Source organism: Homo sapiens, chromosome 8 (assembly GCF_000001405.40).
Source record: "Homo sapiens chromosome 8, GRCh38.p14 Primary Assembly".
NCBI lineage: Eukaryota > Metazoa > Chordata > Mammalia > Primates > Hominidae > Homo > Homo sapiens.
Window position 1 is genome coordinate 117,606,465 of NC_000008.11, and position 23,745 is coordinate 117,630,209.

At 38.8% G+C, this 23,745-nt stretch overlaps 1 long non-coding RNA gene across 4 annotated transcripts in view; it reads right to left on the reverse strand.

Annotated features, from left to right (window-relative positions):
• Positions 1-4,432: 4,432 nt before the first annotated feature.
• LOC105375721 (uncharacterized) overlaps positions 4,433-23,745 on the reverse strand; it is a 121,243-nt gene continuing 101,930 nt past the window's right edge. For 3 of the 4 annotated variants that reach the window (XR_001746050.1, XR_001746049.1, XR_001746046.1), the window contains exons 8-9: positions 12,512-12,704; positions 6,874-7,810 (exon numbers count right to left, since the gene is read on the reverse strand). This is a non-coding gene — a long non-coding RNA (uncharacterized LOC105375721). Of the gene's footprint in view, positions 7,811-12,511; positions 12,705-23,745 lie in introns of all 4 variants that reach the window. The other variant, XR_007061069.1, reaches the window with a different exon arrangement.

Here is a 23,745-nt window from a genome sequence, read left to right on the forward strand (position 1 = left end):
GGGCTTTTCCTAGTTTCCTTTATTTCCTGCTACTCAGCCTATCATATTCAGAGCATCCTACTTCTCAAGCTATGAAGGCTGGAAAGTGCTTTGGCCTGGTGGTCAAGTTTGGAGTTCTAGTTTGGGTTCTCTTCTGAAGCCAATCATGTGATTACATCCTCTCTATAGTCCTCCTCTTTTTCCTTTGTAAAATTAGGTGTGGGGGTTGATGATTGGATCATTGTAAAGAACTGTGCCAGCTGTAATTTTTTTTTTGTTCCTATTTTTCTGATTTTTGTTAAGAGTTAAGTGCTAGAGTTACTTATGATCAGAGTAGATGGAGGGAGACCTGGAGATAAGTCAGCCAGGTATTTTTGTGTGTGACTTGACCAAATTGCATTAATGAGGAGAGAGGAAGAAATTGCCATTCCTAGCTCACAATGACAGCATCTGAGAAAACAAATCACCCTTCCCTCCTGGATTCCTTAAATGACAGAGCACACTGGTGGATAAGATAAACTGGAACTCAGCTTTTGCCATGACCACACTTGACCCAATTGCCATGTCTTATCCAAGTGACTGTATCTTATCCAAGTGACTCTTGACCAAACACAGGCAGAAGAAGAATTTTGTATGTGTCTGGATTTCAGTGGTTTTTTCTTCTTTATATTAATCACTTGTCAGTGGATTCATCCCCGAGCTCAGAGCTAGCACTGTACATAGGATAAGAAACTAAAAGGACTAGTTTATTTTATTTAGTATTTCTAAAACTTTAGATATCATTCTGCACAGCTATAACCCCTGTAGATTTGCAAGCCACCCTTCATGAACTTCCCAGAGAGTCCTGGTCTGTTAGCTCTGACAAGCTTCTTATTTCCTTCCATTTCTGACTCTCCAAAAGATCCATCCTGGAGCTCAGAAACAGGCAGCATATTAAAAATGGACACTAATGTCTGCACTTTCTGCTGCAACCATAGATGTCTATTACAGCAATTGGATCTGCTTGTTTAAACCCTTCCCAGTAATACGAACCAGGCTTTGGAGCTGACAGCCACAGCCCTTCAACAGCTACTCTATACCCCCAATTAATGTTCTTAACATGTCTTGAATTTTGAGTTGTTTGAGTTTTTAATTAAATATTGAAGAATTTTTGTGGCACAACATGACAGCCTATTGCCAAATCATTTACCTGATCATGTTACATTATATTTAAAGCACTTGCCCTAGTATGCAAAATCCTCTAAGACATGCAACCAACCAAAATCACTAGGGTTTTCCATAAATTAAATTTTAAGAAAAGATACTTATAATTTTGGTTAGCATTTCTCCTTCTAAAAGATTCCAGAGAAAAATCTTTCCTTCACAGAGTTATTAACATTCAACAGCTCAACATATTTTAGGAATTTCATTCTTTCATTCTTTTTTTTTTTAAAAAAAAAGATGAGGTCTCACTGTGTTGCCCAGGCTGGCTCCAACTCCTGTCCTCAAGGAATCTTCCCACTTCAGCTTCCCAAATAGCTGGGATTATGGGCCTGAGCTACCATGCTTAGCTGGAATTTCTTTCTTTATAAAAGCATTTATGAGGTATTGTGCATGCTTTAATATACTATCTTATTTAATCTTTATAAAAATTCTGTAGCATAATAATTTCTTACTTCCCTTGAAGAGATGAGAAAACTGAGGTCTAACTAGTAGAACAGCTTGTACAAAGTCACAGAAGGAGAAATTGGCAAAGCCAGGATTTAAACTGATTCCAGTTCAGAACCCTTTCTCAAACTCTAGCCCTTTGCTTCTGTCTATTAGACTCACTAACACCTTTTCCTTGTGGATTAAGGGAATGACTGATAACCTCACAAATTTTCTTTCAGACCTATGATCCTATGATATTAACTAATTCCTCCCTTCCTTCCTTCCTCCTTTCATTCCTCCCTCCCTCTCTTCCTTCCTTCCTCCCTCCCTCTCTTCCTTCCTTCTTTCCTTCCTTCCTCCTTCCCCCCTCCCTCCCTCTTCCCTCCCTCTCTTCTTTCCTTTTCTCCCTCCCTCCTTCCCTTCCCCCCTTCCTTCCTTCCTTCTTTCCTTGCTCCCTTCCACATTTACTGAACACCTATTATGTACTATAGGCCAAGCATACAAAAAAGATGCTGCAACCACCTCGGAGCATGTTATAACGCACTTTTCCAGTCCTAGGATAGTCTCTGGCCTTCATCTATGCATCCACTCATGCATTAACTGAGAAAATATTTATTGAACACATAGTAATGAATTATACTAAGCTTTAGGGATTCAGCAAATAATTCAGGCTCTGTCCTGGATCACATAGAACTTCTGCTCTGGTGTTTCTACCTGGTTCTCTCTTCATTTTCTCTTTTGCTTCCACATGCTTATTCATAAGGGCTTTGCTGAGTCAGGAGGGGTTGGCAGGCTCATGAATTCAGGGTGCATATTTTCAAGTAGGAATTGAGGTTATGAGATGTTCTATCAGCCAGTCATTTCCACTTATTTGATAGTCAATCATGGTACCAAAATATATTTTCATTTATCTTATTTCTTCTCCTCTTCGTTTTGTTTTTATTTAACCTTTTCTATGTGCAGTTCTCACCTCCCCCAATTTGTCTGTAAGCTCTTTGAGTCACTCTATGGTGACTACACAGAGTATAGGCTATAAAAATATTCACTGAATAAATTCCAAGTCCATTTCTCTGTCCCTTGTTGTTGCTATGTGTCTATAAACATGAGGTAGCAACTCTAAAGTCTTGTTATAACAGGCTAGCCTGTAACTATGAATAATACATATATCTCAAGCAAACTCCCCACCCTGGATAGCAGGCGCTGCCAGTGAATGATACTACCAGTGACTATAACTTCTTGAGGAATATAGCAAGTGCTCTCCTAAAAGTTATGCAACTCCCCAAAGTGGATTTCAGACTTTTCTTTCCTTCTCAATAACAACATTACAGAGCTGGGTGTGGAGGATGGTGTGGGAGGGACAATAAAACAAAAGTTGTCACATTTGTCTTAATCTGTACCTTGATTTCCTTATCTTGGATTTAAGCTTAACAATAAAAGACACTCCATCTGTACCTCTATCACGTGAAAGTGTTTTTATAAGCAATAAACATATTATTTATATTGTGACCAAAGTTTAAACCATATATTGTATTGCAGGCCAATTTAATTTTTGTTCTTTCATTGTCCATTTTGTGCTTTTACCTTACCAGGTTTGTGGCCCATTTTTTGGGTCAGTCCTCCCAGCTTTGATACTCATTTATGCCAAGATGTTTTTGCTTGATAATAGTTTAATTATCAACAATCTTCAGATACTAATAACATGTAAATACTGAGTATCATGACTTTTCCAAGTAAGGAAATATGGTAGAATAAAGAAACCTTGACACTATTCATCCTACAACATGTAGAAATGTGTCTGATCCACTAATCTTCCCCCAAGGCCAATATTGCTAGAAGATCAAATGTTGAAATGTTGCAGAACATTCATTTTATTGATGCTTGAAAGGGACACATATAAGAGTTAATAGTTTTTGCACTGTAATACCTATGACAGGTACAATTCTAAATGTCTTTCATGGGTTAAATCTTCACTGCAACCCTGTGAAGGGGACGATATTGTCCCCCTCGACACCTTTTTTTTTTTTTTTTTTTTTTTTGAGATGGAGTCTCACTCTTTCACCTAGGCTGGAGTGCAGTGATGCGATCTTGGCTCACTGCAGCCTCTGCCTCCCAGATTCAAGCGATTCTCCCGCCTCAGCCTCCAGAGTATCTGGGACCACAGGCATGCACCACTATGCCCAGCTAATTTTTGTGTTTTTAGTAGAGATGGGGTTTCACCATATTGGCCAGGCTAATCTCTAACTCCTGACCTCAAGTGATCCAAGCTGCCACTCCCGGCCTCCCAAAACGCTACGATTACAGGCACGAGCCACCGCGCCCGGCCTATCCCCAATATATAGAAGAGAAAATTGATAAAGGGCAGCCTATCCCCATTTTATAGAAGAAATTGATGAAGGGAGAAGCCAGGTAAACAAACTGTGCAATGGCACTCTAGTAGCAAGAAGAGAAAGGTTTGAACTCAGGCAGTCTGACCTCTGAGCCTACCCAGTTAGTCACCATGACACACTGAGAACCACTGCAGTAGTAGCAATAGAAGAGTGATTCAAAGTTTCAGAATACCTCATGGGAAAACAAAGATCCCTTACTGTGTAAACTCAAACTACCTAGCCAGTCACATTTTGTTTTGATTCCCACCCCCTCATCTCCATGTTTCATACCTTCTCATACTGTCTCATGCCTATTTTTTTGTGCACTGTGTGACCTCTGTGTGACTTGTGCTCTCACCTTTGCCTAAGGCTTATTCATTTTCTGAGTTAGCTTAAGGCTCATCTCCTGTAGGCAAATATGGATGCTTCCTTCGTATAAAAGAAAAACTTCAGCTGAATTAAATTTAAAGGAGTTTAATTGAGCAATAAACGATTTGCAAATTGGGCAGCCTTCTGAGCCAGAATAGGCTCAGAGACTTCAGCACAGCCACGTGGTGGAAGAAGATATATGGACAGAAAAAGGAAGGTGACATACAGAAAACAGAAATGAGGTACAGAAACAGCTGGATTGGTAACAGCTCAGCACTTGCCTTATTTGAACACGGTTCAAACAGTTGGCTACATTTGATTGGCCAAAACTGCGTGACTGGCACAAGTGTAGGCTACGGTCTGTTTACACCTCCACTTGTTATAGGTCACGAAGTACAGTAAAACCATTAGACTGAACTTAAATATATATGGAGGCAGCTTTAGGCTAAACTTGATTTAACACTTCTATGAGTTCCCATTGCCCAATACACATACCCACCGTGGTGCATTTATCTTCACATACTGTAATCATCTGTTTACCTCTTTGTTCAATAGACAGTCAGTTCTTGAGAGCTGGGATGAGCCTTTCCATCTCCATTTCACCATCATCTAGCATACTATCTGATGCCTGTAGAAAGATTCATATGAGCCTACCATCTGTGAGTGGAGCTGGGAGGAAACTGACTTTATATTAATGAAAACTACCCAGAGTCTGATTCACTTACAAATGTATTTCACTATTTGAAGCAGAATTCTTTTTCTAAAAAATTGTGGAAGGCATCAAACATTTCAGTTTTCTTTTGTGGTTTTCCAAATCACAAAACTACCTAGAAGGCATATTATATGTTTAAAAATTAAGAAATAAAATAAATCACTTTTTTTTTTGAGATGGAATCTTGCCCTGTCGCCAGGCTGGAGTGCAGTGGTGCCATCTTGGCTCACTGCAACCTCCGCCTTTCAGGTTCAAGCGATTCTCCTCCCTCAGCCACTGCAGTACCTGGGACTACAGGCATGTACATCACACCGGCTAATTTTTGTATTTTTAGAAGAGACGGGATTTGACCATGTTGGCCAGGCTGGTCTCGAACTCCTGACCTCAGGTGATCCACCCGCCTCCGCCTCCCAAAATGTTGGGATTACAGACATAAACCACCACACTCAGCCCCAAAACAAGATTTAGGATTGTGTGTTTCCTGTTTCCCTGGTTTCTTCACCTCTTCTGCTTCTTAAAGGCGGTCTTTGTCACTAGAATATTGTGATGCAGCCTCAGGAAAATAAGAAGAGAGGGGTAGATCCAGAAACAGAAGACAGAAGGAAGGACTGAGCCAAAACAACTAAATCAATCTACACGATGAAGAGCAAAGCAACAGGGAGAAGGCCAGAGAAAAGAAAATAAGCAACCTGGACTGGAATAGAGAAAGTGAAGGGTAACCATGTGAAGGATTCTGGATGAAACAGTTATAAGAGGAAACTGGGGGGTGTACTGGCAGCTATAAGAAATAAGACAGGACATGGATATTCTTTTATTTTTATGAGAGATGTGAGCAAAAACATTTTAGAAATTATTTGTGGCTAATCAACTGTAATTCTTTCTTTCTTTCTTTCTTTTTTTTTGAGATGGAATCTCGCTCTGTCATCCAGGCTGGAGTGCAATGGTGCTATCTAGGGTCACTGCAACCTCCCAACCTCTGCCTCCCAGGTTCAAGCAATTGTCCTGCCTCAGCCTCCCCAGTAGCTGGGATTACTGGTGCCCGCCACCATGCCCGGCTAATTTTTTTTTTGTATTTTTACTAGAGATGGGGTTTCACCATGTTGACCAGGCTGGTCTCAAACTCCTGACTTCAAGTGATCCACCTGCTTGGGCCTCCCAAATTGTTTGGATTACAGGCGTGAGCCACTGCACCTGGACAACTGCAATTCTGTAAATATGACTCCTTTAAGAAACAGAGCCAGGATACCTAAGGCTATATGTACCATTTTATTCCAGAATTTTGGCCATAGCTACATGCGTATTTTACAAAAATGCTCAAAAGATATGTCAAAAATTTTTCAGTTTTTAATTTCACTCAAGGGCAGTGTCCAGTAGGAGTGAGATGAATTTATACTTTATCAACTTACTCTAGTAATGTTTTCTTTTTCCTTATAGAGGGCACTCCAGAGGCTGACTCTCTGTTCTGTCCTTCAACCTAGCTTTGCCTAAGGCTAGAGACATCCTTGATTCAGAGAGATTTGTGCCATTTACTATGGAGCAGTATTTCAAAAAGTTTCCAGGTCCTGAATCCCTTTGAGAATCCAATGGAAAGTATGGACATGCTTCAAAAAAATAAATGCACTGTATTAGCCCATTTTCACACTGCTGATAAAGACATACCTGAGACTGGACAATTTACAAAAGAAAGGAGTTCAATTGGCCTCGCAGTTCCACGTGGATGGGGAGGCCTCACAATCATGGTGGAAGGCAAGGAGGAGCAAGTCACATCTTACATGGAGGCAGCGGTAGAAAGAGAGCTTGTGCAAAGAAACTCCTGTTTTTAAAACCATCAGATATTGTGAGACTCATTCACTATCATGAGAACAGCACTGGAAAGACCTGCCCCCATAATGAATCCCACCAGGATCCTTCCACGACATGTGGGAATTGTGGGAGTTACAATTCGAGATAAGGTTTGGGTGGGGACACAGCCAAGCCATATCATGCAAATAAGAAAATACACACAAAATTTTGCTTACACTTTGAAGAGACTCAGGAATTCCTGAAGTCTTTCTGTGAGCCTTCCAGGCATCCACAGACCCACATTACCAATCCCTACTGTCCCTAGATGGGCTCATTTGCATATCAAGCTCCGCCATGTTAGAACACTTCATCTTACTTCTCATCTCAAATAAGCAACATTTCTGGCTAAATTTTCTCTGGGAAAAGATGGAGTTTTGCTTAACCCTAATGTGATTCTGGTGTCTAGAAATCTCAAATCTGATCCTTTCACCTGTGACTAGAGACCACAGAATCACTCAGCATGTTAACAAAGACAAATGTTGGTCTTTATCATTTCCAAGATAATTTAAAGTCACTGTCCTGCATGGGACATTGTTTAATAATTGATATGCAGTTCTGAGTGGCAGGTTTTTGATGAACAGTTGAGGTCTTTGGGTTAGAACGGTCACCCATGAAGGAAGAGGTCGGAGATAACAAAAGCCCGCAAGGGTACTCCTGCTGCTATACTGGGTACCATCTGTAATTGATGAGTGGTTTTCAAAGCCATCCCCAGCTAAAGCATTTTGCAGTAATCCACTCAGACAATACTTACTTGCTGCCAATAAATCCCGTAATTCAGGCTGTCCACCTGAATCACTCCTCAAGGAGTGTGAGTAAAGGCTTCTTCCTCCTCTCTACTTCCTCCCTCTCAATCATCTCTCTCTCAGGAGCAGGCCAGCACTACTGAAGGCAGTTAAATTCATCTCAGATCTCACTGTCAAATGAAATGTTAAAATTCCCTCAACCTCTCAGAAGAAACTTTTGACAATCAAGTAATATAACAATTCCAACCAGATGTCAAATACTTTTAGAATACAATTTTTCATATCTCGCTTTTTTCCTCCAATCATTTTTATGGCAAACATTAATAAAAATAAAATACTATGTTCTTAAGAATTATGACACAGATGCTTTTTCCTTGCTGAAGTATGAGCCTTCCTTTTTCAATGAGATACCAAGGGCAAAAAAAAAAAAAAGTATTCTTAATGTTAACCACAAACAGCATTTATACTTCTGGGCCAGAGTAGGACCTCAATGTTATATAATTGTATTTACATTATATAACAAAATAAGATTTGAATAAAAAACAAAAGTTTGTGAGTCCCTGCTATGCACTAGGTACTGTACCAGAGCTGAGGGCCAGGTTTTCTTTCTGAAAAATACGAGTTGAAAATCTTTTGAAACAAAAAATGTCAACCTCATATAGAATAATGGTTTTTACAAAAATAAATACAAGAGGAAAAAACCTTTAAAAGTGTGGGAGAAAACAAAACAAGATATCAATGTCCAGAATAAGGGATATTCTGAATAAAATTAATCCAATTGAAAACAAAGCGTTCCCATTTTTCATGTAATGTCAGAAGTGGTTAAACCTCATCAGGAATAATTTCTTCCATATTAACCCCACTATGAGTATATGTAAGAGTAAGATCCAACATCTCTAAATACTTTATTCCTCTCAGATTGAGGGAAATGCATTTTCCTTCACTTCTACCTTCAACAGAGCAAGGCCCAGAGTATTATGACATCCTAAGGGAGAGAACTGCAAACACTATTCTGTAACGAACATTTGTCATTCTTGTGTCATTCTTGCCATTCATGTGTCATTCTTGCATAATAGCTGAAACCCATTCCTCCTTGGAGAATCCCTCCCTTTGTGGGCAAAGCACAATTTGTGTGTCCCTGTGGAGACTGAAAATGTCTGATACTCATTTTACTAGCCTTCCCTTGCACCTAGAGATAGCCCCACAACTTGGGCTCTATCAATCTGATTTCTGCACCTGGACCTTTAATTTAATGTGAATCTAAAAAGCAGAGGTACTAGAGATAAGTCTATGGCATGGGTGGTGGTTATAAAAAGATGAATCATCCAGAGCAGCTGTGCTGGTGGTGGTATAAAGTGTGGAGTGCCAGCTACAGCAGCAGGGTAAGCTGCAATGTGTGGCACACCATAGTGGTGGCAGTATTGTCCACGGGGTTCAGCTCTGGGGTGTGAATTGGACCATGGTTTCCTGTTCTGAAATCTTTCAGCCAGGATCTCTTGCAATCTAGTCTGCTCTTAAGCTGTTCACTAAGTATCCTCCTCATTGTCTTTAGAGGTGTATTAAAGGTGTATTAAAGCAAGTTTTTGCCTCACTGCAATCTTACTTTTCATCTTCTTGTATCACTAAACATTTTTTTAAATTTGGACATAAGTTAAACTTATACAAAAGTTGCAAGACTAATTCAAAGAATTCCTGGATATCGCTTTGGCCAGATTTCTAATATTAATATTTTTCTACATTGACCTCCTCCTCGTCCTCCTCTTTCTTCCCTCTCCCCCTCCTTCTCCCTCTCCTCTCTCACCCCCTTTCTCTCTGTGTAGTTTTTCTAAACTGTTTAATAGTAAATTGTAGACATGATGCTTTTTCCCTAAAATGGCATTGTGTTTTTACTAAAAAATAATTATCTTACATAATCACAGCCTACTTTTCAAAATCAGATTACATACAACACTATGATCTGATCTGCAGACCTTATTCTGAATTTGCCAATTGTCCCAATAATGTCTTGTCTAGCAAAAGAAAATTCAAAATCATTCTGGAACTAGTTTAGTACATTTGAAATAAATGTATATCTTGTTTAAATCAGCCAGAGTTGTTTTCTGTTTCTTGTGACAGATAACTAAAATTGATTTTAAAAAAATGGAAGCAGGGATGAAGTTCTGCAAGTAACACATTTTGAAATGTCTAATTACCTATATGGAAAAAGTAGGGACAAAGGGGAGAGAGGACCTCAGTGTGCTGGGCTGACATGTTGTTAAACGATTGTGTGCTGAAGCCTTGAGACCATTTACATCCTAAAGAAGCTGCCCTATGAATGAAAATTGTAGGAATTGTTCAGAAGGTTGACAAATGCCAGCAATTTCTTCTGGTCATCAGTAGCCTCCTATAAGAAAGAGACCTAAGGAAAACATGGCCCTTCTTCTTTCTCTAGAATCATGTCTGAACATGATGCCTGGGGCTCTAATATTCATTTTGCAACTAGAGGGAGAAGACTAAAGGCAAGGACAAGCCTCTGAGGAAGGGATGGCGTAGATGTGGAAACAATGGGCACTTTGGAATACGGCCGAGCAATCCTACCTCCGGACTTTGAGCATTCTGCGATACAATTTCTTATTATTCAAGCCAGTTTCTGTCACTGTTTCCTATTACACAGAGCCGAAAACACCCTAAAGATAAACATACTCAGTTAAATGACTCCAGCTCTGTGTTGACACTTTGTTTGATGTGTTAGATGTTCTCATAAATATAAAACTAGAGGAGGTGTCATTATCCTCTATTATATCATACAGCTAGATTGCTAGATCTTCCAAACATGGTATTTCTTTTTTTAAAGCATCAGAGAGGATGGAATAAAGTTTTAAAACCACCAAAGATCTATAAAATAACACTGGTGAAAACAATATGAAAACGCCTCCTAAAAATGAGCTTCTTTGTGTTCTTGCATAACAGATAAAAATTTCAACTTTTATTTATTTATTTACTTATTGTTTGTTTGTTTATTTTAGATTCAGGATCTTGTTCTGTTTCCCAGGCTAGAATGCAGTGGGACAACCATGGCTTGCTGCAACCTCGAACTCCTCAGCTCAAACAATCCAACAATATTGTGATGGTTAATACTGACTGTCAACTTGATTGGATTGAAGGATACAAAGTATTGATCCTGGGTGTGTCTGTGAGACTGTTGTCAAAGGAGATTAAAATTTGAGTAAGTGGGCTGGGAAAGGCAGACCCACCCTTAATGGTAGGCACCACCTAATCACCTGCCATAGAATCTAGAATAAAAAGCTGGCAGAAAAATGTGAAACGAGAGACTGGCCTAGCCTCCTAGCCTACATCTTTCTCCCGTGCTGGATTCTTCCTGCCCTTGAAGACCAGACTCCAAGTTCTTCAGTTTTGGTACTCGGGCTGGCTCTCCTTGCTCCTCAGCCTGCAGATAGCCTATAGTGGGGCTTGTGGTCATATGAGTTAATACTTAATAAACTCATATATATATATATATATATATATATATATATATGTAAAACTTAATAAACTCATATATATATAAAACTTAAACATATATATATATTCCATTAGTTCTGTCCCTCTAGAGAACCCTAATACAAATATTTATTAAGGAGCTAATAAGTACTAAGTTGTTAGTGCTAAGTAGTCCTTTGTATGAATTAATGTATTAGTCTATACAGTATGCTATGCAACAGTTATTAGTTCCATTTTATAGATGAGGAAACTGAGGATTAGAGAGATAAACCAACTTTACCAATTTCACAGAGATCATAAATAATGCAGTCAAGATTCGGGATTCAATAATGCAATCTGCTACTTTTTTTTCGATAATTAGGCCAAAGTGATAACTCTCCTCGAGGGAAAATTAAATTAAAGGTTGCATTTAAACTGAAAAATAGGTATGTGTGTTATACGGGTATAATTTCCAAACCCTTATGGATGCCTTTGAAGAGATGGAGGTGTTAGTTTGAAGGAAGGGGATTGATATATTTCCATCATCAATGACCCCCTACCCTACTCCAGAGCAGCCACAGCCACCCAACTCCCTCCACAGATAAAGAAGTGGCTGGCACAGAGGCACCATAGCAGAATTGTAATGTTTTCAGAGGACTCGTCATGTTTAACAAAGGACCCTCACAGAGCAGCTAGGGCTAACGGCTTCATTTCCTGGAAAATGAATCTGAGATACTTGCTCAGTTATATCCCTGACCCACTCTCTTGTGCTTCAGAGGGAAAGATAGGCTTGTGTGCTGCCCCAAGGTGGGGAAATTCCTGCTTATTTTTACAGCGGTCATGACCCATTTCAGCTGTGCAAGGATTTCTATCTTCACTATATCTGCTCACTGGCAGCCTGAAACTTCAGTTTCAAAGACAGGCCTGGATCATTCTTCACCAGAGAAACACAGAAGTATGTTTCTATCACTGATGCTCCATCTTTAAAACATCACTGATCTGAGTTTCACACATCCTGTCTCTGAAAGAGACAAGATATAGGGTGTTTGCTAGAGGGCACAGGGGCAATAGCAGGGTTTTGTTTATAGATTGAGTATTTAACTTCTATTCTGCAGCAATAATATGTAGATATTATCTCTCCAACATAGGTCTAAACAATTAACTATGTTTAGGGCCAAAACACTAGGAATAACCCTTATTTTCTCACTTTTCTTCACATCTGTCATCCAATCTATCTGCAAATCTTGCCTACTCATTTTCTAGGATTGCTTGATAGTGATCCATTTCCATAGTTAGCCAATCATCATCTGGGAAAAAAATAATAAAAGCTACCATTTGTGATCTACTTACCTTCTGCCAGACACTGAGCTACCACTTTGTATGCATTACATTAATGAATCCCCACAACAAACCTGTCATCTGATATTGTCATCTTCACATAACAAATGAGGAAACCAAGGCTCTGAGTGGTTAAGTAATCTTCCTACATCTCCACAGCTAGTGAGTGGTGGTACTCTAATATCAGTAATGCCAATGTTGAAAGGTAGATCCAAGACCCTCCAGATCTGTCAAAATGCCATTTTATCCACTTCCTAAAATAGCAGACTGAAAAAGAAAAAAAAATAGAAACAATTATTGTTCTGTAATTAACCTCCTTTCCAGTAGAATCAAATGCTAAGGAGAGGGGCATGGTATTGTGGGTGTTTGGGAGAAATATAAAGCAGAAATGGGATAGAGCATTAGTCAGTTTTCAGCATATGGCTTTTCTTCTTGCAAAAATATCTCCATTCGGCGTTCACAACACTACTCACACCTGATTTTCTTCTAACCTGAAACTTGTGCCTTCTTGGACTCCATTTCTGGTTCCTCCGCCTCTGCTAACCCTTAACTCTGTCCTCCACCCTCTTTTCTCTCCAAATTCCTTCTCTAGGTGATCTCATCCTCTTCTATGGCTTAAAATAACATTTTTGTACCGATGACTCATAAATCTCTATCTCCAGCTCTTACCACTCCCCTGGGCTCTAGATTTATATACCCAACTGCCTACTTGACATCACCTCTGAGCTGTCTAATAGACATCTCTAATTTAGTATTTCCAAAATAAAATTCTTGATTTACCCACAGCCATCTTCCCCATCTCTCAGTTGCTGGTATCACCACCGATCAAGTTTCTTGGGCCAAAACACTAGCAATAACCCTTATTTTCTCACTGTTCTTCACATCTGTCATCTAATCTATCTGCAAATCTTGTCTACTCTTATTTCCAAAATACATTCAAGATCCCACCACTTATCACCATCTCTATTGCTACAACCCCAATCGAAATGACTAATTTCTCACAGCTGGGCTGCAATGGGCTGCTTCCACTCTTCCCCTGCCAGAATTCATTCTCCATGCAGTAGCCAGCCAGAGTGATCTTTTTAAAGAGTAAAACAGATCAAATTGATCCATTGCTTAAAAGCTTTCAATGGTTCCACTGGGTTTCGAGTAAAACAGAAACTTCCCAACATGACCAGCAAAACTGTACACAATGCACTCCTTGCCAGCCTCTCAGACATGACCACATACTTCTCTCCTTACCATTCTCCCAACTCCCTGGCCTTCTTTCTATCCTTCCAATACACTGAGCTCCTTCACGTCTCTGGCCTTTTTCACCAGCCGTTCCTTCTGCATAGACTGCTCTTTCCTCAGATCTTCTATGATTGCCTCTTCCCCCCCTGTGAGTCTCAGCTCAAATGTCCCCACCTTAGAATGGTTTTACTGGCCATTCCAGCAAAAACATTTTCTTCCATTCTCTCCTCCAATTTTCACTATATACCATTACCCAGTTTTATTATTGTAAAAACACATTATATGAAAACTGTTGTTGTTTTTGATTTTTAATTGAGACAGTCTTGCTCTGTCATCCAGGATGGAGTGCAGTGGCGCAATCTCAGCTCACTGCAACCTCCACCTCTCAGGTTCAAGTGATTCCCATGCCTCAGCTTTCCTAGTAGCTGAACAGGTATGCGCCATCATGCCCGGCTAATTTTTGTATTTTTACTAGAGACTGGGTTCCGCCATGTTGCCTACACTGGCCTCAAACTCCTGGCCTCAAGTAATCCGCCTGCCTCGGCTTCCCCAAGTCCTGGGATTACAGGTATAAACCACTGCACCCGGCCCAAAAAGCATTTCTTCATGTTCATCATTTGTCATCTTTCTCTGCCCCCCTAGAAAATGAGATGCAGAAAGACAACCCTATCCAAAAGAAAGTCTTGTACTTTGGGAGGCTGAGGTGGGCAGATCACGAGGTCAGGAGTTCAAGACTATCCTGGCTAACACAGTGAAACCCCATCTCTACTAAAAATACAAAAAATTAGCTGGGCGTGGTGGCATGCATCTGTAGTCCCAGCTTCTCAGGAGGCTGAGGCAGGAGAATCGCTTAAACCTGGGAGGCAGAGGTTGCAGTGAGCCGAGATCCTGCCACTGCCCTCCAGCCTGGGCGTCAGAGCAAAACTCTGTTTTGCTCAAAAAAAAAAAAAAGTCTCCTGGTCAATGAAAGCTGAGCTCTATGGTACCGAAAGGGAGATCAAGATTCTTCAAAGATTAAGTGAATTATCCCACAATAGTATCCACTCATGATCAAAGAATTCATTAAAAGTCATCAAGAAGGAGTCAGGCTGGGTTCAGTGACTCACATCTGAAATCCCAGCACTTTGGGAGGCCAAGGTAAGAGGATTGCTTCAGGCCAGGAATTCAAGACCAGCCTGGGCAACTTGGTGAGACCCCATCTTTACAAAAATTAGAAAATTAGCTAGGCATGGTGGTGTGTGCCTGTAATCCTAGCTACTTGGGAGGCTGAGTCTGAAGAGTTGCTTTAACCCAGGAGTTCCAGTCTCAGTCACCCATTATTGTACCACTGCACTCCAGCCTAGGTTACAGAGCAAGACTCTATCTCCAAAAATAAAAAGAAAACAAAAAGAAGAAACATTCAGATTAAAACACTGGTTTCTGGAATCCATTGACCCACGGAATATGTTCTAAGTTAGAAAGTACAGATATTCTAGTCATTTAGGTGGACTTTCAATTTTAAATAAACAAATCAGCACTTTTTTCTGTAATCTCTTAGAAGTTTGAATGTGTATTCCAGTTGCCTGGGACAAAATCATTTAATAACAATCAAGTTTCAGGGGTCTACAAAACTGAAAACTAGATTTCTCTTATTCTGGTCAATTTTTTAAAGCATCTTTTTAAAAAAAAAAATTGGAGTAATACATCAAAAACAAAGTCTGTGGCATTGGCTCAGTGATCAGGTGGCAGGCAGCAACGAATCTTCAGTTGCAGCTGGAATGACAGCAATCTATGTTATGCACAAATGAGCTATTTTGTAAAATTGTCACCTGTGAAAACTTAAAAGGAAGGTAATGTCCTCTGTGAACTTATAGCTATAGGCAAAATGATTGAAAAATAGAACTTCTAGCAAGTGTCAATCACTGTTGGCTTCATTTGACAAAATACTACTATAAAACAATGAGCTAAAAACGAATTAACAAGCAAGCAAGTATGAAAGATAACAGAGATGGTCAAGAAAATTTGAAGACTTGGAGAATTGGACAAGGCAATTGTTTCTTATCACTAATTAGAGACAGACTGATAAGAACACAGTCTTGCATCAAGGAATAAATCAAGGATATGGTTTCCACACAAGTTTTTAACCTTTGAATGGGTTAACATAACAACCCAGTTAGTATTTCATATGGACAGAATGACTCAATTTTTTTTTAAGACTGAAGCTGCGGCTCTTCTACTGAAGCTTAGCTGACTTAAGATATCTACAGTTCAGAGAAAACACAGAGAAGCATGTATCAAAAAAGTTGTGTATGGGGCTGTTGGCACAAGAAATTGACCATAATCAACTATAAAAAGAAGCTGATTACTTTTTTGAGAAACTTGTACAGCCAAAGAAATAATGAACCTTCTAAAACTTTTGTGTAAAGACAAAAACATTAACATGGTTAAGTACGTGAACTTCTTAGAGCAAGTATCAGACTAAGAAAGCTTCTCATCCTTGAAGGAGTGTACATTCTATAACACACTCTGCAGACATAGCCAAGGCAACAATAGAAAAGGAAGAACCTCCAAAGAACAAAATTAAGGGCCATGGACTGGAGAACCCCTTCCCAGGCGTCAAATCAGAACATAATTAAGAGCTTTCCTCATCCCAGGGAATGGGGACTGGCAGTAAAATATCAGAATTTATACAAACCAGCCTTGGCAATATTATAGACACCTTGCCCCATTCTGCTATTTTGTACTAAGTGTCAGGGGAAAGAGATAATCTTTTTTGTTTTTGTTTTTTTTCAGTTGATTTTATAACCAAAAGGAGCCACACCCAGACCTGATAAAGAGACCACTTGGTTACCACCCAGAAACTATAGACATAAGAGTTTTATGCCATAAAACTGGATACGTTTATTCTGTAAGATGGGATAAGACTTTGGGGTTGTTTCCATAGGGACACACTGAGTGAGCTGAATACTGATGACCATAAGTGGTATCCTTAGTACTGCTCACAAAATATTTCTAATTCTCTCATACTCAATTACATAGAGGATTATAATGTCTTGCTCTCTTTTGCATGGATGGGACATGTGTCTGGATCTGACCAATGAGTTTGAATAGAAGCAACATTTTACTTCCAGGTTAGAGCCATGAATTCCCAGTGTGAAACCTTCCAGGGCTCCTTTCTATATGACATTGTGAACACCATTTATTTCAATGCTATCTTCAGCCTGGCATCCTGAGTGACTGATGAGCAAAGCTTCCCTGCTGATTCACAATAGCCATATAGCACATGTATTGTTGTTTTAAGTCACTAAAATTTCAGAGTTTTTGTTCTTTGAGACTGTGCCTGAGTCTCTGGTAAAGTTCCTTCTTTGACAACCTTTGAAAAATTTTTTATTTTATCATTTTACAACAATGGATTAATACTCTGTGCACTGTTTTACAGCCTACTCATAAAAATAGTCACATGTATCTTTCTGTATCCTTTATATATTTTTATGCAATGTCAGCATTCATGGCTGCCTAATAATCCATAATAGAGATGTTATATAATTTTTACTCAATCCCACATTGATAAAACTAAATGAGATATTTCAAGCATTTAGTATTATAAATAATAATATAATGTGTATTCCGACAGCTAAATTTTAACAGTAGATTCATGATGACTTCCAGTTCTTAGGATTTGTGCATCAAAGCATATGCAAAATTTTAAAGATTTTGACATTTATTCATTTATTCAGGTTTTCTTCTAGGCATTAGGGATAGTAATGAATAAGATGTACAAAGCCTTCACAGAGCATATTTCCAAGTTGTTTTCAGAGTCTGCTGATGTCCTCTAATACACCCTACTACCAAAAAAGTGAGTGCCCACGTTCCCACACTGTTGGCCACGTTGCTTATGAGCATGTAAAAATTGTCTCTCTTGTTAGCCATAACATCATCTGTCCAGAATGTCTTACCTATATTTGAAGATGACAAGAGTGGTAGTAACCCCACAACCACAGGCCAACCAAAAGATGTTTGTTTATTCTCAGAAGAGTGCACAACACAAACTACAATGAGCAGTCAACCTTCTCTATCAACTTGGGAAAAGGGGCAAATCCTGCATGACTATTGTCTACCTTGTAGCATTTCTTCCATTATACACGTTGTTTGCATCTCCTTTTCTCAATAGACTATCAGGTCCTTGAAAAAGAACAAGGAAGAATGCTTAAAGAGGTGTTAAGGCAGTCAGTTACTCAAGCCAAGCTGCAGGAGATAGGGGATGAATCACAACCCTGCTTACACCTTGCAGCTTCACTATGTCAGTTGCAACAAACAGTGAGTGCCTGTGCTCGCCTCTGCTCACATCATCTCCCTCCACCAACAGGCAAGTTAATTATGCAAATAAAGGCAGCAACTGTTGTGCAGTTGAAAGAGCCTGGTCGCAGAAACCAGTAATCTTTTGCAGAAAAATGGAGTTAGAGAAACAGCTGTAATTTGGCACCGTTTATGTAGATGTAAGTTTCCTACTTACATTATAAGAAAAAACAAAATAAATGAAAGTAGATGTCTATAGATTCTTTTTTCACACTAATTCCACATGCACAGCAATGGTGATGTGGAGAACAGAATTTCATACCCCAAATTCAAGGAACTTAAAATTCAAACTCAAAACAACTATTCACTGAAATTTCACTGTAAGTTTGTATGACGAAGTGTTAAGGATGATTTTTTTTAAGCCTCTCAAGGGAGGATTTGGGGAAGAGCCTAAAAGGATTATGATTTTGATATTTTATAAGGATATTATTATTTTTCAATAAGATATAAAATATTTACTGTCAGTGATGGTGTGCTGAGTGATTTGTAGATATTACAGTGACAACATAGCATTTAAGCATGTACTTCATCCTACATAAGCAATAATTTAAGCTATATATCAAAACCTTAAAAAAATCCAAACCCCAGGGCAATTGAAATTGGCTATCTCTGAAAGTAAGTGTGTGTATATCCTTAATATTATTAGTTCTCTGTGGGTTTTCTCCAAATATTCCCACTTAGATTTTTCCTACCAAACTTGTAAATTTTAGTCAAACACCGTGAAGTGGTGTGCAATATAGAGATGGAAAAGGAAATCTGATAGACTTACTGCCCTATTTAATTTGCCAGAATGATTTTCGTTTCTTTTGAGTTTCTTTCTGGGTCCTTGAGGAATGTTTTGTCTTTCTCTAGAGTGGGAGTGCAATGTATAAATCTTCCAAAAGCTTGGCTTACACTTCGTCTCTTACTCAGAGAAAAAATTTTCCAGCAGGCATTCAGCTTTCTTACATCAACTGCTCTCACCTCACTGACCCAACCTAGTTCCTCCACCTCTTCCACAGAGGCTCTCTGTGCAACTCAGGGCCATCTTCACTATTTTTGTTGATCTTTTTTTAACCTGATTGTATCTTTTTTTCTGTATCTCTAATGTCTGCTTAGTTCTGTTGCCCTGCATTTATTTATTTTGTTTGCCACAACTAAAATGTCTTCTTTCCAGCATATACGACCTCACGCTCTGTATTTCCTTAAAGTACAGCTCCAGGCTCACCTCTGCCCTTAAACCTTCCTTGAATTCTCTTGCTCAATGGCGAATATTCTTGGATGTCCCACAGATCAGGCATGCAGGATGATCCCACACTTGCTTACATAATAACTTGGGATTACTTATTTTCCAACTTTTTAGGCAGACAAACATATCTGACTTACCCAATAAATATAGTAGAAAACTTATTGGACTAGGAATTAGAGCCCTGTGGCCCACCACATAAATTTTTAAATATTACCTTAAGCAAAGTACCTAACAACTGTGTCTTTGTCTTGAAAAGAGAACATAGAATTACAATAACATCATTTTTTAAACTACCTTCAGTTTTAACGTTATGTGAATCTTCAAGAGTAAAGATTATCTTTTGTTTCCCTTGTGTCTTTCACAACATCTACCACAGAGCTGGACAAATAGTAATTTAATAAATGTAATTTAACAAATTTAATAAGTAACTGTCGGGAAATGGATAGACGGTGGATGGGTTGGTGATCGCTCACTCTGTGATCTTATCAACTTTATAATCCTTCGTTTCTTTGAACCAGCCTAAAGCAAAATCACCAGATACTTAATTGTTCTCTTTCTATATTGATCACATATGAATATTACTTTTTTCCTTTTCTTGTTTGCTTCCCAGATTGACTTCAATAAAGGAAAACACTCTGCCTCGCATGGTTTCTTCAGAAAAGCCCTGTGGAATCTACCTGTTGAAATAAGCACGTCTAGCTGCTTCTACAACTTTAATTACTAAAAAAAGAAAAGATCCAATGCAACACTGAGAAATGTTATATATTTTTTAAAATGACTGCTTCTTATGAGAAAAGATAATGTTGCATAACCAAGACCTGATATTCAATTCTCATCTATGGTAACTCTGGCTGTTTCAATTATGTGAAATCATGTTCATCAACAATTTGACAGAGAAAAGCAAAAGAAAATTATTTCATGTCTTCTAACAGCTGCAGATTTGTGAGCAGAGAGCAAATGACAGGAGTATATTTGGATCAAAATGTGAAGATGTGCTTAATTCTATTCCAACACTCATTCTCAGCCCCATTTTTAACATATAAGAATTCATTCTCATGTACACCAACCAGATCCAGACTTCCATGGGATTTACTACCATGAGGGACGGTGGAGTTTGTTATGACATAAACCCTTACTCCAAATATCCAACCTACAAGATAAGTTTCCTAATTCATACAACACTCTATCCTGTTTCAGGCACAATTAAAATATCTTTCTTTATTCCAAAATCAAGATATTCCATGGTGATGAGAATGAGAACCACCCATTCTGGCTTGGATGGTCTCCATTTTAAATGTTGCGTAGGAAGATTATCTAAGTATAGACCTACTTGACAGGTTGTACTTCAATTTTTAATTTCGATCCCATGGTCACCATAGCTGTGGGTCATAAACTAATTTTAGTGATGATCTTGGCAATATCCTTCTCAATTTATAATTACTCAATAATCATATATCAATTAGAAATGTACTCAGTCAGCCAATATTGCAAATATTTACTGGGTGCTTATTAGGTGTCAGGTTCTGTGACATGATTTGAAGACACAATGAAAAACAAAATACAATATCAACCCTCTAGAAAAGAGGTCAACTAACTTTTCTGCAAACGGCCAAGTAGTAAATCTTTTAGGCTTGTGGACCATATTGTTTCTATCACAGCTATTCAACTGTGCCATTGTAACGGGAAAGCAGCCATAGGAATATAAACAAATGTGCCTGGTTGTGTTCCAATAAAACTTTATTTCAAAAAGCAGGTGGCAGGACTAGATGTGGCCCATCCATCATAGTTTTCCAATTCCTGCTGTAATTGCCTAGGGTCTAAAGCAGTACCATCTAATAAGAATATAATGCAAGGCACAAATATGAGCCATGGATATACTTTTAAACTTTCAGTTAGACACACTTTGAAAAGTAAAAAGCAATAAGTGGGGTTAATTTTAATAATATGTTTTATTTGACTGGGTATATCCCAAATATTATCATGACAACACGTAAACAAGTACTTAAAAATTACTAAGCAACATACTAGGTTTTTGAAATCTGATGTTTGTTTTACATGTACAGCACTGTTCAATTCGTCTCAGTCACATTTCAAGTGCTCAGTAGCCACCACAGTGGTTAGTGGCCACCATGTTACACAGCTCAGGTCTAAACAGATGCATAATTGGTAGGGATAAGCATGAAGTATTTAGAGTGAACATGAAGGAGGAAAAGCCAACCTTATATCCATGGTGGTTATGGCTGGTGATCAGGGAGAGTTTTTATAGAAAAGAAATCCAGCATGAAGAACAGGAATTCCCTAGTTGAGGATAGAAAGAAAGACGATTTTGAACAGAGAGGAAATATGCATAAAAACCTCAAGAGGGAGAAAGGTGCAGCTTCTTAAAACAATTTAAAGCAGCTCCATATGTATATGTATAAAGTCAGGGTGGGTGGTGTGGACCCTGAGCTAAGGGAGTGGCATTGGGAATGGAGGGAAGTGACTTAGATGTGAGAGATATTAATGAGACAGAATAGACACAGCTTGGAGATGGATTGGACATAGATCAGATGAGGAAGAAGGAAGCAGCAAGGATGAGGTGGAGGGTTTTAGCTTGCACAGAATGCAAAGATGAAGCTATCATTTGTTGAGATGGGACATGCAGAAGCAGGAGTAGAGTTGGGGAAAGGTGAAGAGTTCAGCCTGTGAGGCCTCAGGGAGATGGGCACAAAGATAACAAAAGACGTGCAAAAGCCACATCCATGTGCAGAACATGCCTTCATGCTCAGGAAGGCCTTTTACGGCAAGAGCTGCCCTCATGCTGTGAGCCAAAGTCTCTCTCCACACTCCCTCCAACCTAAATTTTTATCTAGTAGCTCTGCCACCACATGAAGGGCTAAAATCCTGATTCTGTTGGCCTAGACTGCTTGTTCTTTCCCTTCTGTTTTATGTACTTAGCTCCTGCTCATTTTCAGGTCTCAGTTTAAATGCCACTTCTCAGGGAGACTTCTCAGATACCCCAGATGATCCCCTTGCCACATAAATTCATGTATCTTTCCTCGGTGACAGTTTTCACACTTGTAATTTCACAAGCATTTGTGTAATTATTTGATTATTGACTTTCTGTCTTGAAAATAAAGTTTAGTAAGCAAGAACTGTGTTTATTCTTGCTTGACACTGTGATACTACCCTCTGCCATTTACCTAGCACATCATGGATGTTCAATAAATATTTGTGGAATTAATTAACATAATATTAAAAGTCACTGTTGAGATTCAAACTTATCTGGAAAAGACTGTGAACCTTAGCATGAATCAATACAATGGATTCCAATATTCATCCACAAATACAATCTGGCAAGACGTATTACTTCTCTTTATTTTTCTATCATTGAATCTATTTTTATTTTTAATTCTTCATTTACAGCTAAGGTGGCAAAAAATTAATCTCAGTCATTTTATGTTTCCTGACATTACTGGAGGCATTCCCAGTCCAGGAATCCTTTTCTACTGAATACAGAAATTAGATCCCTAATTTCTCATAAGTTTTTTCTATAATTGGGGTTACGCCCAGAGTCTTCACCCTTTCTTTGAGGGGATGGGCTTTTAAAAACCACAGCCAAAATGATTGATTTCTCCCCCAGTTTTCTGCCATATAATAGCCATTTCCTTAGGTAATGAATGTACAAAACTTTAGCTGCATGACTGGAAGTAGAGGGTGGAAGAGAGGGATAAAAGATAAATTTTGGAGAAAAAAATTGGTCAATAACTTTAAAAAGCTGTTGTCCTATCACATTCATCTACCTAAAACATAAGAGGTATTGCTTCTCACCCTTTTGGCTAAGATCAAGTGTGAAAAATAAGGGGTCATAAATGATTTTGCATGAACAGATTTAGCATCACAGAAATTTTAACTGCAACAAGACAGATGAGGAAGAACAAACAATATTTTCCAGGTAAGGTCTATCCCTGTGGAATGTAGCACAATCTGGGATAGAGTAAGCTCTCAGCTCATAGTTCCTGAATTGAAGAGCATCCTAAATTTCTCCTCTGTAATTACTCATTAAGTGCCTGTTAAATTGTCATCTCCATCTCTGGATCATAAGTTCCATGAAGGGATGAACTTTGAATCAGGGACCTTGTGTCATGCTGCCAGCACCTACTATAATGCCTGTCACAAAATAAGTGCTGGACAAGTATTTATTAAATAAATAAATGTATTAAACAGGAAAAAGGAAGATGAGAATGTACAGAGCCAAAATTCCTCTTTCTTCAAATCCCAGCTCAAATTTTAAGCCTTCATCTTCTTAGAAGCTCCCCTTAGAAGTTTTTGCTCACACCTCTGACCTCCCCCAAATGCTTTGTTTAGTCTTCTTAGAGTATTTATTAGGAAACAGTATACACAATGGTAAGGATACAAACCCAGGAACCAGAATTTGTTTGAATACTAGCTCCCGCTGTTTGTAAGCTGCATTATCTTGAGCAAATTACTTAAGGTCCCTGAGCTCTGCTTTCTTATCCACAAAATTGAGAA